The 26,828-nt window shown below is 46.4% G+C and overlaps 1 long non-coding RNA gene across 1 annotated transcript; it reads left to right on the top strand.

Moving 5' to 3' along the window:
- The first annotated feature begins 1,901 nt into the window (after positions 1-1,901).
- Positions 1,902-25,864, top strand: LOC101927467 (uncharacterized). The gene is made up of 3 exons (NR_188517.1): positions 1,902-2,181; positions 11,477-11,575; positions 24,130-25,864. It is a non-coding gene; the product is annotated as an uncharacterized LOC101927467 (long non-coding RNA).
- The last annotated feature ends 964 nt before the right edge of the window (positions 25,865-26,828 follow it).

Raw genomic sequence — 26,828 nt, forward strand, 5'->3', positions numbered from 1 at the left:
TAGTCATTGTGCAAAGTGTGTTTCAACTGAGAAGTGTTTTTATGAAGCCCCAACCCTGGCAGGCCCTGCTTGCGGCTTTTGGGATACAGCAGTGAGCTAAGTTGCTACCACGCTACAGCTGACATTTTGTGGGCGAGATAGTAAACAAGGGATATTAAAATATCAGACGGTGGTACGTGCTATAAAAGAAAAAAAAGGCAAAGCGAAAGGATGGAGAATGGCTTGGAGGAAGGTGGGAGAGCTCCTTCTGATGGGCGTCATTTCAGTTTCACAGATGAGGCATGGGAGGCTCGAGTGCTCCCCAAGGGTCACACATCTAGGAAGTGGTCCAGGCAGGAACTGAAGCCAGGTCTGTCAGAGCCCAGCCCTGGAGCTCCTAACCACGCCGTGACCACACCAGGGAACGGTGTTGTCTCTTGGCTCACACCCTGAGGCACGCACTTCAACCCTCTGAGGGCCTCAAAGCTGAGTCCCAGGGTAGGAGCGGGGTCTTCCTTTCCCACAGGCCGCCGGCTTCTGGAGGCGCAGATGGATCGTGTGTCCAGCAGGTGGCGCCGCGGCCCGACTCGGGCGCCCCAGCAGAACCAGCCTGCCAGTTGAGTCTGTGCCAGGCTGGAGAGCGGGGCGCGGGCAGTAGGTACCTGAAGCGAGGCTCGGCCGGAGGCTTCGGGCAGAGATGTGCTGCTGTCAGTCGGGCAGGCCAGCTTTAGCGGCTCAGCCCTGCAGGTCACTTCCAGTTATGGGACTTCCGCCCACTGTGAGCTTCCCCCTCTGAATGCAACCGGGTTGTCCACCCCTTCCTCCAGGCTGCGGGAAAACGGCATGAGCCCACACCTTCATCCCTTTGAGAGGTGACAGCGTGCTGGCAGCCCTTGCTTGCTCTCGGAGCCTCCTCGGCCTCGTTGCCCACTCTGGCTGTGCTTGAGGAGCCCTTCAGCCCGCCGCTGCACTGTGAGAGCCCCTTTCTGGGCTGGCCGAGGCCGGAGCCGGCTCCCTCAGCTTGCAGGGAGGTGTGGAGAGAGCAGCGCGGGCGGGAACCGGGGCTGAGCGCGGCACTTGTGGGCCAGCGTGAGTTCCAGGTGGGCGTGGGCTCCGCGGGCCCCACACTCAGAGCGGCCGGCCGGCCTCGGGCAGTGAGGGGCTTAGCACCCGGGCCAGCAGCTGCGGAGGGTGCGCCGGGTCCCCCAGCAGTGCCCGCCCACTGGCGCTGTACTCGATTTCTCGCTGGGCCTTAGGTGCCTCCCCACGGGGCAGGGCTCGGGACCTGCAGCCCACCATGCCTGAGCCTCCCCCAACGCCATCGGCTTCTGTGCAGCCCGAGCCTCTCTGACGAGCGCCGCCCCCTGCTCCACGGCACCCAGTCCCATCCACCGCCCAAGGGCTGAGGAGTGCGGGCGCAAGGCTCGGGACTGGCAGGCAGCTCCACCTGCAGCCCCTGTGCGGGATCTACTGGATGAAGCCAGCTGGGCTCTTAAGTCTAGTGGGGACTTGGAGAACCTTTATGTCTAGCTAAGGTATTGTAAATACACCAATCAGCACTCTGTATCTAGCTCAGGGGTTGTAAATGCACCAATCAGCACCCTGTGTCTAGCTCAAGGTTTGTAAATGCACCAATCAGTGCTCTGTCTAGCTGATCTGGTGGGGACTTGGAGAACCTTTATGTCTAGCTAAGGGATTGTGAATACACCAATAGGCACTCTGTATCTAGCTAATCTAGTGGGGACTTGGAGAACTTTTGTGTCTAGCTCAGGGATTGTAAACGCACCAATCAGCACCCTGTCAAAACAGACCAATCAGCTCTCTGTAAAACAGACCAATCGGCTCTCTGTAAAATGGACCAATCAGCAGGATGTGGGTGGGGCCAGATAAGAGAATAAAAGCAGGCTGCCCAAGCCACCAGTGGTAACCTGCTCGGGTCCCCTTCCAGTCTGTGGGGTATTTCCTCTTTTGCTGTTTGCAGTAAATCTTGCTGCTGTTCATTGTTTGGGTCCACACTGCCTTTATGAGCTGTAACATTCACTGTGAAGGTCTGCAGCTTAGCTCCTGAAGCCACTGAGACCACGAACCCACCAGAAGGAAGAAACTCTGAACACATCCGAACATCAGAAAGAACAAACTCTGGACACACCGCCTTTAGGAACTGTAACACTGACTGAGAGAGTCCCAGACTTCATTCTTGAAGTAAGTGAGAGCAAGAACCCACCAATTCCGGATGCACCTTCAGCAGTGCTTCCTTGAGAACTTCCTGGGTGCCAGGCCGGGGGACTCAGCAGGAAATAAAGCCTACAAACCCCGCTGCCCTCCCCTCAGGGAGGCTCCGTTCTTGGGGAGGGGAGACAAACAATAACCTAGAGGAACCAAGTGTGCGTTATGCTAGGGAATGGGATGTGGAGCAAATAATGAGATGGAGAAGGCAGAGGGGAAGTGTGTGGTCACAGGTTAGACGTGTAGACGGTCAGGCGCCAAGGAAGACCTGCTGAAGAGCGACCCTGGAGCAAGGGAGGTGAAGGGATGCACGGATGCACAGGGAAAGGCACCCAGGCAGAAGGGAGCCAAGGGGGTCAGTGGGCCTGGAGCGCCCTGAGCCAGATGAGTGTGGAGGGAGGGAGGTCACAGCAGGGGTGGGTGGTGCAGGGCTGTGGAGGTCATGGTGGGAGGAATTGGACTTGGACTCTGAAGGGGATGGGAAGCCAGTGGCATAATAACCCCACATCTCAGTGGTTTAAGCAACACAAGTTGATTTCGTGCTCACATTATCTATCAAGAGGGATTGGCCTGGGTGGGCGGGGCCCTTCACTTAGAGACCCAAATGATTTTATTAGGCTGTTTTCTTAGAAGGCATCAGCGTCCCAGCTAGGGAATGAGAGTGGTGAAAAGTGGAGCAGCAGCAAGTAAATGCTTCTGAATGAAAGTGACATTCGTCACTGCCTCTCATTTTTCATGGGCCAGAGTTTGAGGCAGGCCATGCCCCATGTCAAGGGAGAGGGGACATCAGATTAGTGACGGACAGCACCCTGCTAGTGCTATGATTTCCACGATAAGCCTCCATTCCCGGATCAATTTTACTTTTTTATTTTTTTATTTTTTTTAGCTAGAGTCTCGGTCTGTCACCCAGGCTAGAGTGCAGTGGCGTGACCTCTGCTCACTGCAAACTCCACCTCTTCACACCATTCTCCTGCCTCAGCCTCCTGAGTTGCTGGGACTACAGGCGGCTGCCACCACACCTGGCTAATTTTTTGTATTTTTGTAGTAGAGACAGCATTTCACTGTGTTAGCCAGGATGGTCTCGATCTCCTAACCTGGTGATCCACCCGTCTCGGCCTCCCAAAGTGCTGGGATTACAGGCATGAGCCACCACACCCGGCTAATTTATTTTTTTCTTAGAGAGGAGGTCTCACTTTATCACCCAGGCTGGAGTGCAGTGGTGTAATCATAGCTCATATTGTGTCGGGAGTTGGTTGAAGCTGCAGACCTTCACAGTGAGTGTTACAGCCCTTAAAGATGGCAGAGACCCAAAGAGTGAGCAGTAGCAAGGTTTATTATGAAGAGCAAAAGAACAAAGCTTCCACAGTGTGGAAAAGGACCCCAGCAGGTTGCCACTGCTGGCTGGGTGGCCAGCTTTTACTCCCTCATTTGTCCCCTCCCATGTTCCATTTTTGTCCTATCAGAGTGCCCTTTTTTCAATCCTCCCTGCGATTGGCTACTTTTAGGATCCTGCTGATTGGTGTGTTTTACAGAGTGCTCATTGGTGCATTTTACAATCCTCTTGCTAGCTACAGAGTGCTGATTGGCGCGTTTTTACAGAGCGCTGATTGGTGCATTTTACAATCCCTCTTGTAAGACAAAAAAGTTCTCCAAGTCCCCACTGGACCCAGCAAGTCCAGCTGGCTTCAGCTCTCAATATCTGCCTCAGATTCCTGGGCTCAGGGGATCCTCCCACCTCAGCCTCCCCAGTGGCTGGGACTACAGATGTGTGCCATCATGCCCAGCTAGTTTAAAAAAAAAATATATATATATATATATATATATATATATATAGTCATAAAACCTTCTCCTCCTTATATGGAGAGCTGGGGAACTACCTCTGCTTCCCAAGGAGAGAGGCTGAGCTGAAATCAGGTGAGGACCCTGAGGAAGAACTGAATCTGAAACTGGCCCAATAGTCCCATAGACTGTTCTTTTTGGTAAACTTAGAAATTGACCCTTCTGGGCTTAAAGCTTGAAACTTGTATTTGTTTTATCTGAAATCCTTCTTCAGGAAAGGACCTTCAGGCCTCTCAAAAAGCATCCAAGAACTGAAACTCACCAGATCACTGCACCAGATAGCAGACCCCTCATTTGTCATGATGGCTTATTTGGCCTTCCCTAGTTCTATTTTCTTACACATTGTTACATTTCCTCCCTGCTATGTAAAGCCCCAGTTTTAGTCAGGCGGATGGATTTGAGGCTGAGCTCCCATCTCCTGGGCTGCAGCACCCAACTAAAGCCTTCTTCCTTGGCAGTATTCACCATCTCAGTGATTGGCTTTCTGTGTGGTGAGCTCATGGCTTGGCTGCAGCGGGCTGGGAGTCTCACAACCCCTCCTAAGCAGCTGCCCACACCAATTTTGGCTGGAGGTGAGTTTCAGTCTCTCTCCAGCTTTGCCACAGCCAGTCCCAATCATGTTCCTGATTGCCTTGGAAGAACTGTTTTTCTAATTTGACATCTGCATCTACGTAGGTGAGTGTCATTTGTGGGCCCAGAGAGCAGGATCTGCTCCTCTCAGTTTGGAAATTTTTTTTTTAATTTTTTTTGAGACAGCATCTCACTCTGTCACCCTAGAATGCAGTGGCATGATCTCGGCTCACTGCAACCTCCGCCTCCCTGGTTCAAGCGATTTTCCTGCCTCAGTCTCCTGAGTAGCTGGGAATACGGGCGTGTGCCACCATGCCTGGCTAATTTTTGTATTTTTAGTAGAGACGGGGTTTTACCATATTGGCCAGGCTGGTCTAGAACTCCTAACCTCATGATCTGCCCCCTTTGGCCTCCCAAAGTGCTGGGATTACAAGCATGATCCACTGTGCCTGGCCGGGAAATTTTTTAAAGAATTTCCATTTGCAGTTTGAAGGAGCCCAACTGGGAAAGGGAAACACCCTGACTGTTTTGGTGTGGACACTTTGGGGGCTTGTTTGTTGCTGTAGTAGTTGGATTGTGTTCTGGTGATTGTGTGTGTGTGTGTGTGTGTGTGTGTGTGTCATGGGAAATTAGACTTCAGTAAACTTGATATTCTTTTGAAATACTTTCGGCCCCAATATTGTTTGAAATGTGGAGTTTGCTGTTGAATGGGAGAGTGAGATGGAGTCCATGTATCCAGGCTTTTGTGCTGCTGTTCTAAGTAGGGTTGGTCTTGGTTAGTATGTGATGCTCTCCCTTGGTGCTGTTTGACCCGAGTGTTCTTTGGAGTCTGGGGAGGTTTGGCCTTTGAAAAGCAAACTGCCATGGAAACTGCTTTACCCAAAACTTGGTTCACAGCCTTCACTGGATTACCTACTGGGGCGAAAAAAAGTATAACCATGTAAAACCGGTGAGTTTGTATTGCTATCTCATGGCTAGAGTTCCAAGGTATTATAAAAGCTGTTGAATCATTGTGTGTGTGTATTCATGTCTAGATGTGTTTATGTGTATTTAAGTCACATGTTGTATCTACCAAATTGGCTTATAAATAAAACAGCACTAAAAAATTAAGAAAATAAATCCACTCAAGTTCACATGACTTAAGTAAATGTTTGCTAAACAAGCTGGCTTTAAAATTATTGTTAAAATGAGGCCTGGCGTGATGGCCCATGCCTGTAATCCTAGCACTTTGTGAGGCCAAGGTGGGCGGATCACCTGAGGTCAGGAGTTCCAGACCAGCCTGGCCAACATGGTGAAAACCTGTCTCTACTAAAAATACAAAAATTAGGCGGGAGTGGTGGCGCATGCCTGTAGTCCCATCTACTTGGGAGGTTGAGGCAGGAGAATTGCTTGAACCTGGGAGGCGGAGGTTGCAGTGAGCCAAGATGGTGCCACTGCACTCCAGCCTGGGCAACAGAGCGAGACTCTGTCCAAAAAAAGTTATTGGTAAAGTTGAATTGTTAGCATACATTTTTGTCTGGATTTTATGTTTGTCTCTGATAGATATTTTGAGGTGTCAGGGTTTGGCATAGAAGCTTATAAAACTGTAAACCCAGCCAAAACAAAATGATCTTTGTGCAAATTTTTGATAATTAAAACTAATTATGTTATTGGTTTAATGAAAACAGCTGAATCTTCTGAATTACTGGTGAAAATGCCCATGTAGTTAACTTTAAGATTCTTATTTTGATGAACACCTGATATTCACAGATTATAAAATGGTTAACAAGGAAATAACTAACCTTAAATGATGGTGCCTAATATCTCAGTTTTCAGAAGTAATCTAAATAAACTGTTAAAAACGAAAGAATTGAGTATATGTAAATGGAATAAAGGTTTTAGATAAATTTTTTGTGTAATTAAAAATCTTAAAATTATTTTTGATGCTCATTGGATACCTGGGTCATCTTCAATTAAGAAAGGGTTATGATATGGGGAAATATGTTTCCAAAGATTATGTAATTTTTATCTATAAAATGTTAATATCTGATTGTTCAGGATTTCTTCCTTCCTAGGGTTTCACTACAATTTTAGTGTAAGAATTCTAGTTGACATATAATTCTATATAAAATGTGCCCAAAAAGATATTAGTGAGAAAAAGCATAATTTTGTCCAATTCAGAAGTTATCTAAAATTACTTCAAATTATGGACTTGAAAATGGTTATTTATGAAACAAGGTAGTAAGAAACCAGTAAGTAAGAGAGAGAGATGTGAAGAAAGTTGAATATGAAGATGTACTTTTGGTAAAAATGATTATAAAGAAAAGATAATAATTTTGTATGACAGAGGATCTTATATAGTTAATTTTCCTCCTGGAGTAAAATGACTCTTTTTTAAGAAAGAAGAAAAAGAAAGTCTAGGACTGAACAGAAAGCCCAGTCATGTCATGGATGGTCTGTATAAGTCAGACGTAGTTTTTCCTGTTTCTCTGTGTGTTTATCTTCATGCACATACAGAGAAAATAGAAAGTTGAAAAAGTTTAGATAATAAAATATTCTTTAAAACCTGATAGAAAATTGGAGAAATTCGGCTAATTAACATTTTCATAGTTAAAGCTCTTAGTCTTGATGATAGGGGCAGAAGGCAGGGAAATATTAGGTAAAAAAGGGCAGGGTCCCTGGCAAGGGCTTCACCCTCAAGCCTGGACCCAGGCACAAAGTGAGAACATCCATTCTTGTTTTCCCACCCAAATGTTGCCTTTTCCAAAACCACTGTGGCCCACTTCTCCCCACATCCTATACCCATAAAAACCCCAGTCTCCACTGGCAGAGTGGTGCAGCAGAGGAGAGAAGAGAAGAAGCAGCGTGACATCAATGAGAAGCAGCTTGACTTCAGAGGGATGGCTTGACAGTGGTGCCTCAGAGTCCCTGGCCAAACTCCAGGGGAAGACCACCTTCCCATTCCATCCCCTTTCCAGCTTCCCATCCCACTGAGAGCCACTTTCATCAGCAATAAAATCCTCAGCATTTACCATTTTCAATTCATTCGTGCAACCTGATTCCTCCTGGACGCTGGACAAGGACCCTGGTGCGTGTGCAAGACGTTGTCAAACTGACCCTCCACTGAGCTGTCTAACACTTAAGCTGTCCATGAATGGCAAAACTAAAAGAGTGCACTGTAACACATGGGGCTCTGGGGGTCATGGGCAACCCCTAGATGCTGCTGCAGGCCTGCACAGAGTTCTGCTCCTGCCAGTTGCCCAGAAGCACTCCTCCTTACCTCTGCACCCACTCACCTGTGTGCTCCCCCTCCCATGAGGGGTTGAGAGCTATAGGCTGAGTAAGCAAGCCACCCCTTCATGAATCCCACAAAGGGGTCAAGGGAACTATCTCATTTCATTGATGAAGGTAAAATAAGAAATATTGTAAAGAAATGCATAGGCAATATGACAATTCTTTTGCATTAGAATATTTAATAATTACTAGTCGTGTGTCTAGAGTGAATTTCTGGATTGCACAGGATGTATAGTAATGTTGGTGGACTTAAGGATACTGAATTGTGTATCAGGAATAAAATATTCATTACGTGGGGTTTTGGGGCTCTAGGTAACACTGTAGCCTCTGGGGTAGACCGAGTGGGGGAAAGGTTGGAGGTTTGGAGGTAGGTTTCTTGTTTATTTGTTTTTGCTTTTTTTTTTTTTTTTTTTTTTTTTTTAGGAGTCTTACTCTGTCCCCCAGGTTGGAAGTGCAGTGGTGCAATCTCAGCTCACTGTAACCTCCGCCTCCCAGGTTCAAGCGATTCTCCTGCCTCAGCCTCCCGAGCTGAGATTACAGGCACGTGCCACCACACCCGGCTAATTTTTGTGTTTTTAGTAGAGATGGGGTTTCACTATGTTGGCCAGGCTGGTCTTGAATTCCTGACCTCAAGTGATCCATCCACCTCCGCCTCCCAAAGTGCTGGGATTACAGGCATGAGTCATGGCACCTGGGCTGTTTTTGCCTCTTTTTATTTGTTGTTCATTCTTCTTTGGATTTTGTTTGTGCATGCATATATACTATAGATTTTTTTTAGCATCTAGTGGAAGGCTTTTATTTGGTTCTGTGAATAGTTATTTTGTTTCATATGAATTTCTAACAAGTTATCACTTATTCTATTTATCTGGAATGCCTAGGCTGCCTTTGTTGGGCCCGCAGGAATTGATGGAGCACACCAGCCATTTGGAATTTGGTTTGTTTTGCTTACCTCTGATGATGTTGAAATCTATGAGCCCTTTAAGGATCCTGGCAAAAATAAAAGACTTGTTTTTACAAGTTCTGAGCAGAAATAGTACATTACATATTTCGTTATTTGGAAAAGTAGGTATGTTTAAATGTAATAAAGTAGGCATGTTTTAAAGTAGTAGAAATGTTTAAGTGATGTTTTTTCCAAGGTAATTCAATTAAATCAATGATTTGAGTTGGTTTCAGATCTTTTCCTTTAATGAGGAAAAACTGTGATATGGGTACAATTTTAATGTTCGAGAAAGACTGGCTTTGTCCTTAGGGAAATTATATTGGTTAGGATTTCTCTCAAACTAATTGAGTTGTGTTGATCATTATTAAAATTAAGGAATATTCATTTGGATTAAGTACTAATAAAAAATTCTGAGACTTTCTAGTGATCTCTGATCCCAGGCCATTTATCACTGATGGACCTTCATGTGTATACTTGAAAACAAAATATGTGCAGGCGTTGCACTGGTTTGAAGATTTTGGTGGTGAAAGTTACCTAATCAGCTGTCACTACTGTCTCTAGAAACCAGTCTTGGAAATGTGGGATGATGCTCTTTTAAATAACTGAAAAGAAATTATTGTGTACTTGTCCTTACTTTGTCCTTGTGTTGTTGTGTGATATTTAAGTGAAAGGAGATTATTTATCCTCTTACGGAATTGACAAAACTGACATTTGCATTTATCATTTTTTTAATGATGGAGAGAAAAGCTGGCTGTCTTATTTTGCCATAGGACCTATCACTTTTTGATGCTTTTGGTCACAGTTTTGTCACTAGAATACTAGCAATTAGATATATGCAGTGAGTAACCTAACTACTTAATACAGTGGTTTGAAGTGCTGCAGGCAGTAACTCCTAAAGGCCAAATTTCAGTGTTTTAATTTGTAACATGTTAGTGTGTCTGGAACTGGTGGGTTCTTGGTCTCACTTCAAGAATGAAGCCGCGGACCCTCGCGGTGAGTGTTATAATTCTTAAAGATGGTGTGTCCGGAGTTTGTTCCTTCTGATGTTTGGACGTGTTCGGAGTTTCTTCCTTCTGGTGGGTTTGTGGTCTCGCTGGCTTCAGGAGTGAAGCTGCAGACCTTTGCAGTGAGTGTTACAGTTCTTAAGCCAGCGCGTCTGGAGTTGTTCATTCCTCCCGGTGGGTTTGTGGTCTCGCTGGCCTCAGAAGTGAAGCTGCAGACCTTTGCGGTGAGTGTTACAGCTCATTAAGGCAGTGTGGACCCAAAGAGTGAGCAGCAACAAGATTTATTGCAAAGAGCAAAAGAGCAAAGCTTCCACAGTGTGGAAGGGGACCCGAGCAGGTTGCCACTGCTGGCTCAGGCAGACTGCTTTTATTCCCTTATCTGACCCCACCCACATCCTGCTGATTGGTCCATTTTACAGAGAGCTGATTGGTCCATTTTGACAGGGTGCTGATTGGTGCATTTACAAATCTTGAGCTAGATACAGAGTGCTGATTGGTGCATTTACAATCCTCCAGCTAGACATAAAAGTTCTCCACCAGATTAGCTAGACACAGAGCACTGATTAGTGCATTTACAAACCTTTAGCTAGACACAGAGTGCTGATTGGTGCGTTTACAAACTTGGAGCTAGACACAGAGTGCTGATTGGTGCATTTACAATCCTCCAGCTAGACATAAAAATTCTCCAAGTCCCCACCAGATTAGCTAGACACAGAGCACTGACTGGTGCATTTACAAACCTTTAGCTAGACACAGAGTGCTGATTGGTGCATTTACAATCATCTAGCTAGACATAAAAGTTCTCCAAGTCCCCACCAGATTACCTAGATACAGAGTGTTGATTGGTGCATCCACAAACCCCAAGCTAGACACAGAGTGCTGATTGGTGCATTTACAATCCTCTAGCTAGACATAAAAGTTCTCCAAGTCCCCACCTGACTTAAGGAGCCCAGCTGGCTTTGCCTAGTGGATCCCACGTAAGGGCCGTGGGCGGAGCTGCCCACCAGTCCCGCACCACGCGCCCACACTCCTTAGCCCTTGGGCGGTCGATGGGACCGGGTGCCACAGAGCAGGGGGCAGCACCTGTCAGGGAGGCTCGGGCTGCACAGGAGCCCACAGTGGGGAGGGGGGCAGGCTCGGGCATGGCAGGCTGCAGGTCCTGAGCCCTGCCCCACCAGGAGGCGGCTGAGGTCTGGCAAGAATTTGAGCGTGGTGCAGGCAGGCCGGCAGTGCTGGGGGACCTAGTGCACCCTCCATGGCTGCTGGCCTGGGTGCTAATCCCTTCACTGCCTAGGGCCGGTGGTGCCGGCTGCCTGCTCCGAGTGCGGGGCCTGCCAAGCTCATGCCCACCCGGAACTAGTGCTGGCCTGCAAGCGCCATGCGCAGCCCCAGTTCCTGCCCACGCCTCTCCCTCCACACCTCCCCGCAAGGAGAAGGAGCCGGCTCCAGCCTCAGCCAGCCCAGAGAGGGGCTCCCACAGTGCAGCAGTGGGCTGAAGGGCTCCTCAAGCACGGCCAGAGTGGGTGCTGAGGCTGAGGAGGCGCTGAGAGCAAGCAAGGGCTGCCAGCATGCTGTCACCTCTCATTAGAATGATAGAACTTTCTGTAATATAAACATTGTATTAATGAATGCTTGTGCTGTTAAGTTACAGGGCTTTGACTCTTGGGTCTGAAGAAGGCACCAGCCCCTGCTAAATTCTGAGCATTGACACCAGTGGAAGCCTCATCCTCAGACTTGGAAGAAGGTAACAATACAAATGAACTGTTTTTGTGAGACACAGGCCAGAAATTAAAACTATTCAATCCCTCTAGGCCCAGAGACTATTGCAGAAGTGGTAGGTGTGTGAAGTTATAAGGGCTGATTTTGAGGCATAAGATTAATTCAGAGTTTTTCTATAAATTAAACATTAATATCAAAAGCTCCCTGATGCAAGGCCAGCATCTGGGCCCATGTGTTGGAATAACAGGGTTTTCTTGGAACATTTATCTGTTCTTTAATAGAAAATTGGAAACAATTATTAAAAGTTTATGGAAACCTTACCTTATGGTCAAACTGATTGCAATTAGATTTTTATAAGGTTTTATTAAAATTAGCTTTGACATTAGTAATATACCATACAAAGGTAAAATATCGTTTTCTTTTGAATAAAATGTTTGTGTAATACTGAGAGATAAAAGATGATGTTGACCTTCTGAGTACACTGCAGGGAGATAATGGAGTGGAGAGAGAGATTTAGTTAGCCTCATGCTGTCTTTATTAGGTCTTACTGTTTGGGAAACTAAATCTATCAAAAAGTAAACGTCTTTATTTTATCACCTCCGCTAAATGAATGACTATTTTTACAGTGACTTGTGATATTATTTTGTGCCTAAAACTTCGCTATTTGGCAAACTTTTTTTTTTCTTTTGAGACGGAGTCTTGCTCTTTCACCCAGGCTGAAGTGCAGTGGCGCCATCTCAGCTCACTGCAAGCTCCACCTCCCGGGTTCACACCATTCTTCTGGATATTCGGCAGACTTCTAAGAGCAAACTTTCAAGTTCTAAATTCAGTCTCTTGACCTTAAACTAACTTTCTTGGATATTAGGTTCCCTGAAGTCTGAGAGAGACATATTAGGCTGATTTGTTACGTTAGGATTATGCAAGAAGCATTGCCAAATCTGAGATGATGTTTAACTTCCCTTGGGTTATATTTATATAGATGTATTGTTAGTATGTGTTCCAGGATTGTATGAGAGTCCTAAAATTCTGATACGTCTTAATATATGTTGTCAGTAGTAATTATTATTATATTAAGTTGTTTTATGCCACAGAAATGATTAAGTTTCCTTGTCAACTGTGTCTTTAACTATGGCTGTCTGAAGACTTTTGTCATCCACAATTGATGTTTTGCTGTGATCCTTCTCAAAAGAAAAAAAGTGACTTACAATCAGCTATAGTCCAAAGCTTCCTTCTTTGGAGGAGTTCATGAAAAAGACTCTTGAATGCAGGTTTCTGATAACTTTGGAGATTGTGCCACTAGATTAGAGAGAAAATTTCCAGGGCACTAATTGAAAGGCTGATGTGCTCATAAAGATTCCCAACCCAATACGAAGCAGAGCAGGAGGTGATTGCATGGACTGAACTAATGCAGGACAGAAAGAACTTTTTATGGCTTTTGTTGTTTGAAATATTGCTGATTCTTTTGGTTTTGTTTTTCAGAGTCTGGAGAATCTTTTTCTTTTGAGCTATTTATTTATAGCCTTTAAGTGTATTTATAGTCTTAAAGTATATATACTTCAAGGGTATTGAATGGAGTATGCTTTTATAAACAGAATTTGAGAGATATTTCTCTGCTTAATTTATCCAGAATATGGAAACTCTTTGTGAATATTCTTAATTCATGGTGTTTGTTTGCACACAATTAATAACATGTTTTCTTTTGTAATGGGACACAGTTGGAGTAACTGGTTATCTTCTCAAGGCTTTGACTGAAATGGCCTTGTGAGATTCCAGCAAAGCCAATTTGGGAGTCTATATGGACAATGATTCTTGTTGCACTTTGTGGGTTATCAGGCCAAGTATATGGAACTGAAGCTTATTTTGCAGGTAGAGTGGTCCTGCTGTGATTGTCTTTGGTGGAAGTGGGGAACTGGAGAGAGAAAGATTGAGTGTCAGAAGAAAACTCTATATTAGATTAACCTTTGATTCCTGGGTGGCCACTGCCTAGGACACCCATCCTCAGAATGAAACAGCCAGAAATACTCAGACCAGATTCCTCATGATTGAGGGATTGATAAGTAGAAAGGGGAGACTGAAACCAGCCCAATTGCCCCACAGACCATTATTTTTGATAACTATAGAAATTGATCCTTCTGGGCTTAAAGCTTGAAATTTACATCTGTTTTATGTGAGTTCCTTCCTCAGGAAAGGAACTTCAGGCCTCTCAAAAAAGTATCAAAGAACTAAAACTCACCAGATCACTACACCAGATAGTACCCCTCATTCTCATGATTGCTTCCTTGCCCCCCCCACCCCGAGTTCCTGTTTTCTTACACATAGTTACATTTCTTCCCCGCTATATAAAGCCCCAGTTTTAGTAGGTCAGGGAGATGGATTTGAGGCTGAGCTCCCATCTCCTGGACTGCAGCACCCAGTTAAAGACTTCTTCCTTGGCAGTACTCATCTCAGTCATTGGCTTTCTGTGTGGCAAACAACAGGACCTACACCAAACCCTTGGTGTTTTGGTAACCAATTGAGGGACCTGATATCAGTGAGCAGCTTCCCCTCCAACTCAGCTTCCCACCTTAGGGACCCAGGCACCAGGTTGGATGCTTCCACATCCTCCCACCCTATATCCAGTCATTGGCTCCTGTTTATTTTACCTCTTAAAGTACTTCCCAAGTGTATCCGTATCTCATAACCCCAACCACAAACCACTACCCAACTCCCATGACTGCCATCCCTTGCTGTAAAGCAGCTGAGCCTTCCACTGGCCTCTCCACCCACATTGCTGCTGTGGTCTTGTATCTGGAATTGGTTCCTTTCAGTGGGTTCTTGGTCTCACTGACTTCAAGAATGAAGCCACAGACACTTGCAGTGAGTGTTACAGTTCTTAAAGACGGTGTGTCCAGAGTTTGTTCCTTCAGGTGTTCAGATGTGTCCGGAGTTTCTTCCTTGCAGTGGGTTCTTGGTCTCGCTTGACTTTAGGAGTCAAGACACAGACCTTCGCAGTGAGTGTTACAGCTCTTAAAGCTGGCGCATTGGGAGTTGTTTGTTCCTCCCGGTGGGTTCATGGTCTCGCTGACTTCAAGAGTGAAGCTGCAGACCTTCACAGTGAGTGTTACAGCTCATAAAGGTAGTGCAGACCCAAAGAGTGAGCAGCAGCAAGATTTATTGTGAAGAGCAAAAGAACAAAGCTTCCGCAGAGCGGAAGGGGATCCCAACGGGTTGTCACTGCTGGCTTGGATGGTCAGCTTTTATTCCCTTATTTGGCCCTGCCCACATCCTGCTGATTGGTCCATTTTACAGAGCACTGATTGGTCCATTTTACCTAGTGCTGATTGGTCTGTTTTTACAGAGTACTGATTGGTGCATTTACAAACCTTTAGCTAGACACAGAGTGCTGATTCGTGCATTTTTACAGAGTGCTGACTGGTGCGTTTACAAATCTTTAGCTAGACACAGTGCTGATTGGTGCATTTTTACAGAGTGCTGATTGGTGCATTTACAAACCTTTAGCTAGACACAGAGCACTTATTGGAGCATTTTTACAGAGTGCTGATTGGTGCATTTACAAACCTTTAGCTAAGCACAGAGCACTAATTGGTGTGTTTTTACAGAGTGCTGATTGGTGCATTTACAAACGTTTAGCTAGACACAGAGCGCTGATTGGTGTGTTTACAATCCTTTAGCTAGACAGAAAAGTTCTCCAGGTTCCCACCCGACCCGGAAGCGCAGTCAGCTTCACCTCTCAGTCCTTTTAAAATGCCACTCTGGCCATGTCATGCCACTACTTTCTCTGGCACCCAAGGCCCTTTAGGATGCAGCCTCTCACCCTCCAGCCTCCCCGCCCATGCTCCAGACCCACCAGTCACCTAGCTCCTCTCTGTTTTCCCACCTCTGTGCCTTTGCACATGCTCTTCCTTCTGCCTGTGGTCCCTTTCCACTGTCTTTAGTGGGAAAATTCCTGCACATTTTCAAGCCCCCAGTTCAAATGCACTTTCTCTGTGAACCTCCCCATTGGTGTCGCCTGGCAGAGGGACTGAGCTCCACCAACACCCCCAGCACATCTTCACTGTAGCACCCGGCATGCAGTATCAGCATCTGCTTCTGTGCCCGCTGCCTCCAGCGCTCTGCCCAGAGATACATTGCACGTTGAGATCCTTTTCCCACACTCACATGCACAGTGGATACAAAGGTTTCCCAAACATCATTTTCCCCTGCTGCTTGCTATGACCACTAATATCTTCTATTATAGTCTATTCTGTTTCTTTTTTAAAAAACATGTTAGTCCATCCATTAAATTCATTTTGCTACAGTTTGAAAAACATTGCCCTGGAACCTCCTGTAGGGCGGCAGGGACTGTATCTGTAATTATCTCTCCATCTCCCAGAGCTTAGGACAGTAATAAATATTTGTTCTAATAAATGAGTAAATAAATGAGAGAGTGATTATTTAAATGTGAATGTATTATTTAAACAATTATTTAAATGTGGTTTGATGTAAGGGAATACAATGACAAGTGAGTAGGTGAATGAATGAGTGAGTGAATGAATAAATGAAGAGACTGGTTATGTTGTGGGGACTGGCAGCATAAGTCAGTGGGTTGCCTCAGGCCCTGTACCCCTAGTGCACGGTTTCTCCAAGTGTGGTTCCTGGACTTCCCCCATCAGAATGTCCTGGAGAGTATAGTGAAAACACTGGTTGCCTGCTACCCACCTCAGGCCTACTGAATCAGACTTTCTGAGTGGGGCACAGAAGTCTTCATTTTTTGAAGCTGCTCAGGTGATTTGGGGGTGTGTTAATGTCTGAATGGCTGCCCCAGGACCTCCCTAAGCTGCTGTTGGTGGGGGAATGGTAAGAGGAGCAGAGCAGCAACAACAAAGACAGGTAACAGCCCCCCACATCCTCCCTTCCTCCCTGATCTGCTTCAGAAGGAAATGGACTTCGGGTGAGCCTGCTCCTCCTCCACCTCGCCCTGCGCCCAGCAGTGAGAGGACACCAGAGCCCCGTCCAGCACTGCTGACAGAAGAGCAGAAGGCAGTGATTGCCATGGCAACGCATTAAGAGATGCGGAGCCACCTCCAGTTTTAGCATCTGGAAAGGGGTCAAGTCTTTGGGGCATAGAGTGGGAAGGGAAATTCACTCCCCCAGAGTCTTCATAGCTAACAAAGCCATGGCACAGTGCATGTTACAAAGCCCTTTCACACAAGAAAACTAGGAAGTGGTATCCCCATTTTACAGATCAGAAAACTAGGGTGGGAATCTCCTGCCAAGCCAGTCAGTGGCAGAGCTAGTGTTTGAATCCAGCCTTCCTGATTTCAAAGTCGATACTCTTGCTTCTCTAATAGTTGCCTGTCTTGGGTAAATGACAGACAAGGACCCAGAGACCCCAGAGTCCTGCTGGTGTGAGGGTTTGGGAGCACATGTGTTGGCCCACTCTACTTGACACAATCCATGGCCCACTACACTTGGCACCTATCTGGCAAGGCTCACACCTGCACAGATACACAAGCAGAAAAGCTTCCAAAATTGTTCATGCATGCATGCATGTTGGACATGTAGACACATCCAAAGGAAGTGTACACACAAACAGCCTCACATGCACACACGGATGCCTGAACACACATATTCACCAATATAGACACATATGTCTGCAAACACATACGCAGGCACACACTGGTATATACATGGAAGCAGATGTAAAATTAATTGTCTTCCTGGTCCTGAGTCATCACCCCTCCACATACCCACTTCTTTTGACATATGACTTTGCAATTCCTCTCTTCTGAGAGGGAAGATCTATTTCCCCATCCACTGAATCCAGGCTTGGCAGTGTAACTTGCTCTAACCAATGCAGTATTAGCAAATATGATGCAAGCAGAACCTTGAAAAAGTGCTTGTGTGGTTCTGCTTCTGTCTCTTGGTCCTTGCCATCACTGTGAGAACATACTTGGGATGTAAAGGAGGAGACACCTGGTGCAGAGGCAAGGCACCTCATTTGCCCCAGCTGAGGCCATCCTAGATCAGACAGCCCATGGCCAACCACCAGAAGTGGGAAATGAGGCTGGGCGCAGTGGCTCATGCCTGTAATCCCAGCATTTTGGGAGCCCGAGGTGGGCGGATCACAAGGTCAAGAGATCAAGACCATCCTGGCCAACATGGTGAAACCCCGTCTCTACTAAAAATACAAAAATTAGCTGGGTGTGGTGGCGTGTGCCTGTAGTCCCAGCTACTCAGGAGGCTGAGGCAGGAGAATCGCTTGAACCCGGGAAGTGGAGGTTGTAGTGAGCCAAGATCGTGCCACTGCACTCCAGCCTGGGTGACAGAGCGAGACTCTGTCTCAAAAAAAAAAAAAAAAAGCGGGAGACTAGCTAGCTAAAACCAGAAGAACAGCCCAGCAGAGCCTAGCTGATTTGTGAGCCAAATAAATATTTATTGTAGTGTGCCACTGAGGTTTTGTGCCACTAAAGTTCTGTGGTTGGTTGTTACACAGTATCTGCTCTACTGATAGATAACTGATACACATCCCCAAACTGATACATTCCCAAAGGGTAATTTATCATGGGAGAAGGCCCTAGCTATGTGTTTACCTGGTCACATGGTTTTGTAAAACTCACAAAAGTAAAAATCTTTAAAATAATAGCTTGATTGAAATATAATTCACTTACTATAAGATTCACCCTTTCGACGTGTACAATGCAGTGATTTTTAGTATATTCACAAAGTTGTACAACCATCACCATTATCTAAGTCTAGAACACTTTATTCATTCCTAAAAATCAACCATTAGCAGTAACTCCCCATTTCCTTCCTCCCTGGCAAACACTAGTCTTACTTTCTGACTCAATACATTTGCCGGTTCTGGGCATTTCGTATGAATGGAATCATACAGTTTGTGGCCTTTTGTGTCTGTCTCCTTTCATTTCACATATGTTTTCAAGATTCATATGTGTAGTAGCAGGTATCAGTGCTTCATTCCTTTTTTGTAGCCAAAGAATAATCCATAGTTTGGATATGCCACATTTTGTTTGTCCATGCATCAAATGATGAACATTTAGGACAAGCAACACATTCTATCCGCAACTGGTTAAGACTCCTAGCTCATTCTACTCACACTTCCCCTCATGACAGGTGGCATTTGGGGAGAGTTGACTTGGTGATACATTTAGTTTGAGATCAGAGCATATATGGATGTGGTTCACCACCTCTTCCATATATAGGTTATTATTATTCTGGCTCCTATGGTTTGAATATTTGTCCCCTCCAAAACTTGTAGTAAAACTTAATCCCTAATGTGGCAATATTAAAAAGTAGAACCTGTAAGAGGTGATTGGGTCATGAGGGCTCTGCGATGGGTTATTATGGGGGTGGGACCGGTGGTTTTCTAAGAAGAGGAAGCAAGACTTGAACTGGCACACTCAGCCCTTTTGTCATGTAATTAAAAAGCGGAACCTGTAAGAGGTGATTGGGTCATGAGGGCTCTGCCCTCATGAATGGATTAATCCATTCAGGGATTAGTGGATTAATGGGTTATCCTGGGAGTGGGGCCGGTGGTTTTCTAAGAAGAGGAAGAAAAACTTGAACTGGCACACTCAGCCCTTTTGCCATGTAATGCCCTGAGCCACTTTGGGACTCTGCAGAGAGTCCCCAGCAGCAAGAAGCCCCTCACCAAAGGCAGGCCCTCAACCTTGAACTTCTCAGCCTCCATAAATGTAAGAAATAAATGATTTTTCTTTCAGGTATTGTGTGATAAACAACACAAAATAGACTAAGACACTGACATAGCAATGACCTCCAGAATAGCCCTATTGCCCCCATGCCAACTTGCCCTGCATCATGACATGAAGGAGTGAGGCCTATGGCTGTACCAAAATATCTCAGTGTGTGGTCTGGTGCCCAGTACCAGAAAGGTGTGGGCCAAAGAAGAGAAACAGTGTTGGAAATGGACAGAGCCAGAAATGGAAATGGAAAATTATTCAGATCATCACAGACAGTATTATAACTGGATTCAGTTCTCACTGACACCTAATCGAAAAAATTTTTTTTTCCATTTGGGCATATGCTTGATAATGCAGCATATCCCTAATAAGGTAACATATAGCATTATAAATATACCATACATTTTTCTTTTTGTGATGGAAAACATACAAAATTGAATTTATCAGAATTCTTGAGTCTGTAGGAGCCAAACCCAAGGCTGTGCTGCAAGAAGCAAGTATGTATATGAAGTTACATCTTGTGCATCCTAACTCGTGGTGAAAAAACGAATTTCAGTCGACCGTGTCAGAGGAAAGGCTGACTTATCATTCTTTTCTCTATTAGAAAAGATTATTAAAAATCATAAACATATGAAAAGTATATAGCAAAACTACCATGAAATGCATTTCAGAGGGTATCAGGAAGTTAATTAACACATATGTCATTTTTCTAGATTTTGCAGTGTTTCTGACCCTTGTCAATTTTTTAAAATTTTGTAACATTATGATTTCTTTTTAAATTCTAAATATGCATATGCATACCTAAATTAGGATTGATAATTTTGAAATCTTTTCCTTAAAGAGGGTCCCCCAAATTATATCAACTGAACCCCCTTCACTGCAAAATGTGGCTCCCTCCTGATACACACACCAGTGCATGCACACACATACCTATGCACCCCCAAGAGCCGACGCTGCCCAATGTCAGGGATGGAAGAGGAATCACAACTCTGCCCTTAGGCGGTGAGTGACTTCTTTGGTCATAAATAGAATCCCACCCTTGAGAAACTGCAGAGCAGCTCAGAGACACACCCTACCACTGGCTCATCTTGGACAAACAACACAATTGTTTTTGCAGGCTGTGGTGCTCTGCCCTACCCAGACACCTCCCATCCATAAGGCCCAGCCCTTCCCTCTCCCTCCGTCCTGGCTTTTGGAAATCTTCAGCAGCCCTGTCTGCCTCCAGAATGATCTCTTCAGCTACTCCATACTCAGGGTATAAATCGAGGAAGAAGAACTCTTTTCAGGGGAATATTTGTGAAAGCAATGCTTATCCCTAAGGAATAAGCCACTGATGGTGGAGTTTTGTCATGGTGAAGGATGACAAATGGAAATATTTGTGGGAACTGCAGCCTTCCCACCTCACATATTTTGGGGGGCTCCTTCTCTCTCTCTCATTTTCTGTGTGCGTTTTGACTTCACTCTTCTTTCTGCTTCTGGCTGCTTGTATCTGCTTGGCCTCTACACCACAGGTCAGCACACTTTTTCTAGAAAGGGCCAGACTGTAAGTATTTTAGGTTTTATAGGTGACACAGTCCCTGTTGCAACTACTCATCTCTGCCACAGAGTGAAATCAACCCTAGACAACACTCAAACAAATGAGTTAAATCAACCCTGGACAACACTCAGACAAATGAGTGAAATCAACCCTAGACAACACTCAGACAAATGAGTGAAATCAACCCTAGACAACACTCAAATGAGTGAAATCAACCCTAGACAACACTCAGACAAATGAGTGAAATCAACCCTAGACAACACTCAGACAAATGAGTGAAATCAACCCTAGACAACACTCAGACAAATGAGTGAAATCAACGCTAGACAACACTCAAATGAGTGAAATCAACCCTAGACAACACTCAAATGAGTGAAATCAACCCTAGACAACATTCAGACAAATGAGTGAAATCAACCCTAGACAACACTCAGACAAATGAGTGAAATCAACCCTAGACAACACTCAAACAAATGAGCACAGCTGTGTTCCAAGCAGGCCAGAATCAGCCCACAGGCTGGACTTTGCCAACCCCTGTTCTAGACTTTAAGCTCCCTGAGGGCAGGGCCTGAGTCTGTCTGTTACACCACTGAATTCCTAGGGCCTAACAGCATGCCTGGCATGGATTGAGTGCTCAGCACATATCAGCTGGCTGTGGCTCTCTGTGTCTGTCAGTCTGTCTTGTTTCCTTCTCTGTCCCCTCCATCCATGAAAACTCACTAAGCCTCAGCTTTTCAGAAATGAACCACCTGCTCCCAAGCGAGTCAGACAATGAAAACAGCCTCACACTCTAGCAATCTGCTGCTTGGCGCAGCTCTCACAGGGCATTTAGGCAGTGAAGGGAGCCTAGCACTTAATTCAGCCTCTCTCAAAGGGCTCAACACCAACCTGGGAGAAGCATGAAGATGGAGAGGCTGAGGGAACCTTTGGAGGGCAGGGCTGGTGTCTCTGCAAGATGGACAGCCGCCTTGCAGGCACACCATGCTGCTGCTTCCCTTGCACACAGCCCCCAGTCCCTTTCTCCCTTCCTGTCATCCTTCATGCACTCATTCAATATTTACTGAGCTCCAACACTGTGCTAGAAAATTAGCCCTAGCACAGACATGGAAATCCCTCCCCAAAATAACTTGTTAACAAATAAATTAATGATCAGTTGGACAAAAGAGTGTTTAGAGGTAAGAACTGGTTCTGCTGGCAGCAAACAGGCATGTTTTTCTTTCTTTTTTTTTTTTCCAAGATAGAGTCTTGCTCTGTCACCCAGACTGCAGTGCAGTGGTGCGATCTCGGCTCACTGCAACCTCCGCCTCCTGGGTTCAAGCAATTCTCCTGCCTCAGCCTCCTGAGTAGCTGGGATTACAGGCACACACCACCACGCCCGGCTAACTTTTGTATTTTTAGTAGAGACAGGGTTTCCCCATGTTGGCCAGGCTGGCCTCAAGCTCCTGACCTCATGATCCTCCTGCCTCAGGCTCCCAAAGTGCTGGGATTATAGGCGTGAGCCACCGCAACCGAACAGGCACATTTTTTCTGAGGATAATCACCCTGAGATCTCTCAACAAAGGGAGGCATTAGAAAATGACCAGAGTCATCCCCAGTGTCATCCATAGGGAGCCCAGAACAACCTCACCCCAGATTCTGCCCCAGAGCAGGAGGCTGTTCCAAGGGCATGGGGTAGTAGGCACATTAGAGATGGGGACATGAGGGCCAGTGGCAGAGTTGACTGTCAGAATCTCACCACCACGATGTCCAAAGTGAAGCTGAGAATGCTTCAGAGAAGATGATGTGATATAGACATGTGTTCTTGATTTTTTGCTATGACTCCAGCGTAGTCAGTTGCCTCTCCTAGAATTCACAGTCCAGGTGCGGCCAGCTGCCATTTTCACTGCAGTATCAGCTTCACTGGCTCCAGAAGCCACGAGGACAAGGGTTTCATTTGTCTTTAGTGCTGATCAACACCAGTGGCTCGGTTGATTAGCATAATGACTGTTAAAAATAAATGAGTTTTCAGAGGTGAAATCAGTGGCTTGTTAGCCAGCTTAATGGATGCTGGAAACAGGCACTTGTTGATAAAATTAGTGGGATTCAGAATACACAGCTCGGTTAAAATATTTTAGAGGCACTTCCTCCCCTGGCACAAATTAGGTGTAAGAATCCAGCAAGCCCCAGGGATGGCACTTCAGGCTGCTCCCTGGTAGGTCCTGGGTCCAGCCACTGGTTAAGGGTGATTCTGGCGGGCACAGTGGCTCACGCCTGTAATCCCAACACTTTGGAAGGCCGAGGCAGTCAAATCACTTGAGGTCAGGAGTTTGAGACCAGCCTAACCAACATGGTGAAACTCCATCTCTACTAAAAAATACAAAAAATTAGCTGGGCGTGGTGGCAGCCGCCTGTAGTCCCAGCTACTTGGGAGGCTGAGGCAGGAGAATGGCGTGAACCCAGGAGGCGGAGCTTGCAGTGAGCCGAGATCGTGCCACTGCACTCCAGCCTGGGCAACAGAGCGAGACTCCGTCTGAAAAAAAAAAAAAAACTTAGCAGGGCATGGTAGCATGCACCTGTAATCCCAGCTACTCAGGAGGCTGAAGCAGGAGAATCTCTTGAACCCGAGAGGTGGAGGTTGCAATGAACCAAGATTATGCCACTGCACTCCAGCCTGGGCAACGGAGCAAGACTCCATCTCAAAAAAGTGATTCTGGTTGCCTGATGTGGCCTGTAACAGTCACAGAATGTGACTCTGGAATATTCTTACGTCTGCCTTGAATCTGCTGAGTTTAATAAATACATGTTGCATGAACTGTCTGGGACCTGCTTGCTCATAACAGTTGCCTACTAAATGTCTTTGTGGGGGCAGAATTCTGTCCACAACTTGCTTTCATGTGAACCTGGTAGCAAGACTAGGGGAAGCGGCAGGTCCTCATTCACTGCTAATTGTTGGCTAACACCGCTGGCCACCAAGGAGAGCCTGGAGTTGTGCATTTCAGATTGGCTTAGGTCTTTTTGCAATAATGGCTCAAGGAGTCACTGGGCCTTTAACCAGATCTCCTCACTCCCGGCCACTGCTCTGTCTATGTCATTTGGGAGGGAACAAAATGCAGCTTACCACCTCCCTGCAGGCATCTTCCCTCCAGCCCCTGGACTTGGCCCCTGGCCAGAAGCTGTCAGCCTGGTGCACAGGATAGTTCAGGGAGAGTAGACAAGGGTGGGGAATGCCTCGGGCTTCCTAAATTTCATTAGAGTTATGCCATGCATTCCTTTTTTGGGGGTTTCTGTGGGCACCAAAAGGCTTTCTAGAGCTGGCTCACATGACCCAAACCCCAGGCCCAGGCAGCCTTCTGTCTTCCATAGGTGGTCTAGAGATTTCCTGCCTTCTGAAGCTTGTCTGGGAGGCAGGAAGACCACGGCGGAGGAGAAAGGAGCACTTCTACACACCTCCTCACTGACACCCCTGCCTGCCTTTGTCAGACCTTCGGAGGAGGCACTCCATGGAGAAAGGGCTCCAGCTGACACTCTGAGTTGTGCAGCGTGGGGTGGGGTCCGGAAGATGTACTATTCCAGGAAACGATTCTACTCCAAGATGGGGGGGCCAGCAGAATCGCCCAGGCCAGGCTGTGGCAGATGAGCCGTCCCTCTTACAGGCAGGTGAATCGGGAGCTGTCCCTCTGCCTGGAATACTCCCCTAAGGCCCTCCACAGTTGCATTGAAAATGTCACTTGATGCAGCTGACTCATCTGGGCCTGAACTCTGGATGGGCTGGACGACTGCCATTAGGTTCCTTTGACTGGAAGCACACTGGGAGAGGTGCATGGGCCTCCCTTGGTGATGTCCCTTGTCCCTTTGCATGGACACTACCAGAAGGCCGTCTGTCCCTTCGTCAGGTGGTCGCAGGCATAGCCAGTCCAGCTGCCCACAGGAACGACCGTGATTGCAACCTTTATGCTGGCTTTCCTCATGCCTGGTGTCACCTCCCCACTCCTCCCCTGCTGCTCCCCGCGTTCGCTCCCAAATAAACTCCCGCACCTAGGTCTCTGCTCCAGGCTCTGCTCTCAGGGGAGCTCAAGATGAGCCTCCACAGGGAGGTCTTCCCTGACCACTTAGAGGAGGCTGGGTCACCCTGTTGGACACTCTAGCCACTCCCTGCACTTCCCGTTCTCAGCACTTAATGGCCTTGTGATTAAGAAACTTTTGGTATAGTTATTTATTCCTATCTCACTCCTGACTAGGCTATAAACTCCCCAGGCAGAGAAGAGTCTGTCCTCTGAACCACTTTTGCTCAGAGTGCATAGTAGGTGCTGAGAACTAAAAATCAAATCCTAAGCCCCACAACGGACTGAACAGACCCACTCTTGGCCAAGGGGACCCAGGAGAAACCTTAAAAACCAAGTTCCTGGCCATGATGGGACAGGAGGCCAAACACATCTCAGTATGCCCCTTACTTACTGACTTTTAACCAGAATTCCTTCGTAAGGAGTAAGCAGATTTGGAAAACAAGAAACAGACGACTCATTCCTTTATTACCTTCAGCCAATCGTGACCATGCCAATGAGGCCATGACCAGACTCCCTCTTCCCCTTTGCAGTTTTGACATGAAAGCTCACCAGCTTCATAATGGTATCCCTTCCTAAAAACTGACCACCCTCCAGCTTTAAAAAAAAAAAAAAGAAAGAAAAAAAAAAAGAAAAGAAACGGCCAGTGACCATCTCTGGGCCAGTTTTGGCCACCCTCTGGAGGATGTGCGTGAGGGTTTTCACGTCCTTTGCTTCACCTTTTGATGTCTGAGGACCAAAAATTCCACCCTTGAGGATCATACTAACCCTGGTATTGTTTGGACATGCAACCCAAGAAGAGGCATGAAGCTGGACCACGCATGTGCATGTTTCTCCTTTCATCAGTATTCATGGCTCCTCCGGTCGCTGGTTACGTGTGTATATTCAGCCGTCTCACTCAGCATAAGTTCCTGTTCCCTTTACCCTTCCCTCAAACTGCTTGCTCTCTGCAGAGCCAGAGGCCATGCTGCCCAGCCTATGGGATGGCTGGCCTGCAGGCTGCCTCTGTTTATGATAAATAAAGATCTCCTTTCCACATGTGTGAACCTCATCATTCTTCAGTTGACAGTGCTTAAGAATATTCCTTGGATGAATGAATGATGGATGGGAAACAGAGTGGACACAGTTGTTATCGCTTTCCACCTCTGCCACATTGGCGAAGCCGCTGAAAGTCTCCCTGGTAAGTTTCCTTCCGTCCCAGGCCACAATGAAGTTTGAAGGAGACCATGAGCCCTTAAATTTCCTAAAGGACTGAGCAGAAGAAAATGATGACTGCCATGCCCAAAGAAGTTCTGAGGTCTTCTCAGACCTGCCTGTGTGAGGTTGGGGGAGCAAGAATTAGCATTTATTGAGCACCTACTACTTGCTAAGCACTTGATTGATATCATGAGATGTCAATGTGTTAACTCACGTCCTACTCCACTCCTTAAAGCCTGGTGAAGAACTATGAGAGGGAAGTCTTGGCTCTGCTCACTCTGCTGGGGCATTCATTATTCGGTCAATAAACCATGTCAGGCCCATCTTTATCTCTAACAGCAATAATAGAAGACAACACTTACTGGGCACAAACACAGTGCCCTAGTAATGCTTAGAGGTAAACACTGTTGTTACTTTGTTATTGAGGATCAAAGGGATTGCCCAATGGCACGCATATTTAAAAGAACAAGACTGAGATCAAGCCCAGGTCTGTCTGACACCAAAGCCCAGACGCCTTGCCTTTCCCTGGAGCAGGCCTCCTTTGCCAGGTTTCCTGATGGCTGGAGGAGCCAGGAATCCTGATGGTTTCCTGAAACCCAGCCCCGCTCCCAGTCCTCATCCTTAGGTCCACGTGCAGACAGCCTGCAGAATAAGCACACACCAACTTTGCATTAATGGCAGTGAGTTGTCAAAATGCCCTGGAGCCAGAATTTTCCTGCCATGGCAACTATAGAGCACAATGGCAAGCCAGGAAACCATAGGGTGTGGGAAGCAGATCCTGGGCCAGAGGGTGGGCTGGGAATT

The sequence above is a fragment of the Homo sapiens genome, chromosome 3, assembly GCF_000001405.40.
Source record: "Homo sapiens chromosome 3, GRCh38.p14 Primary Assembly".
Lineage (NCBI taxonomy): Eukaryota > Metazoa > Chordata > Mammalia > Primates > Hominidae > Homo > Homo sapiens.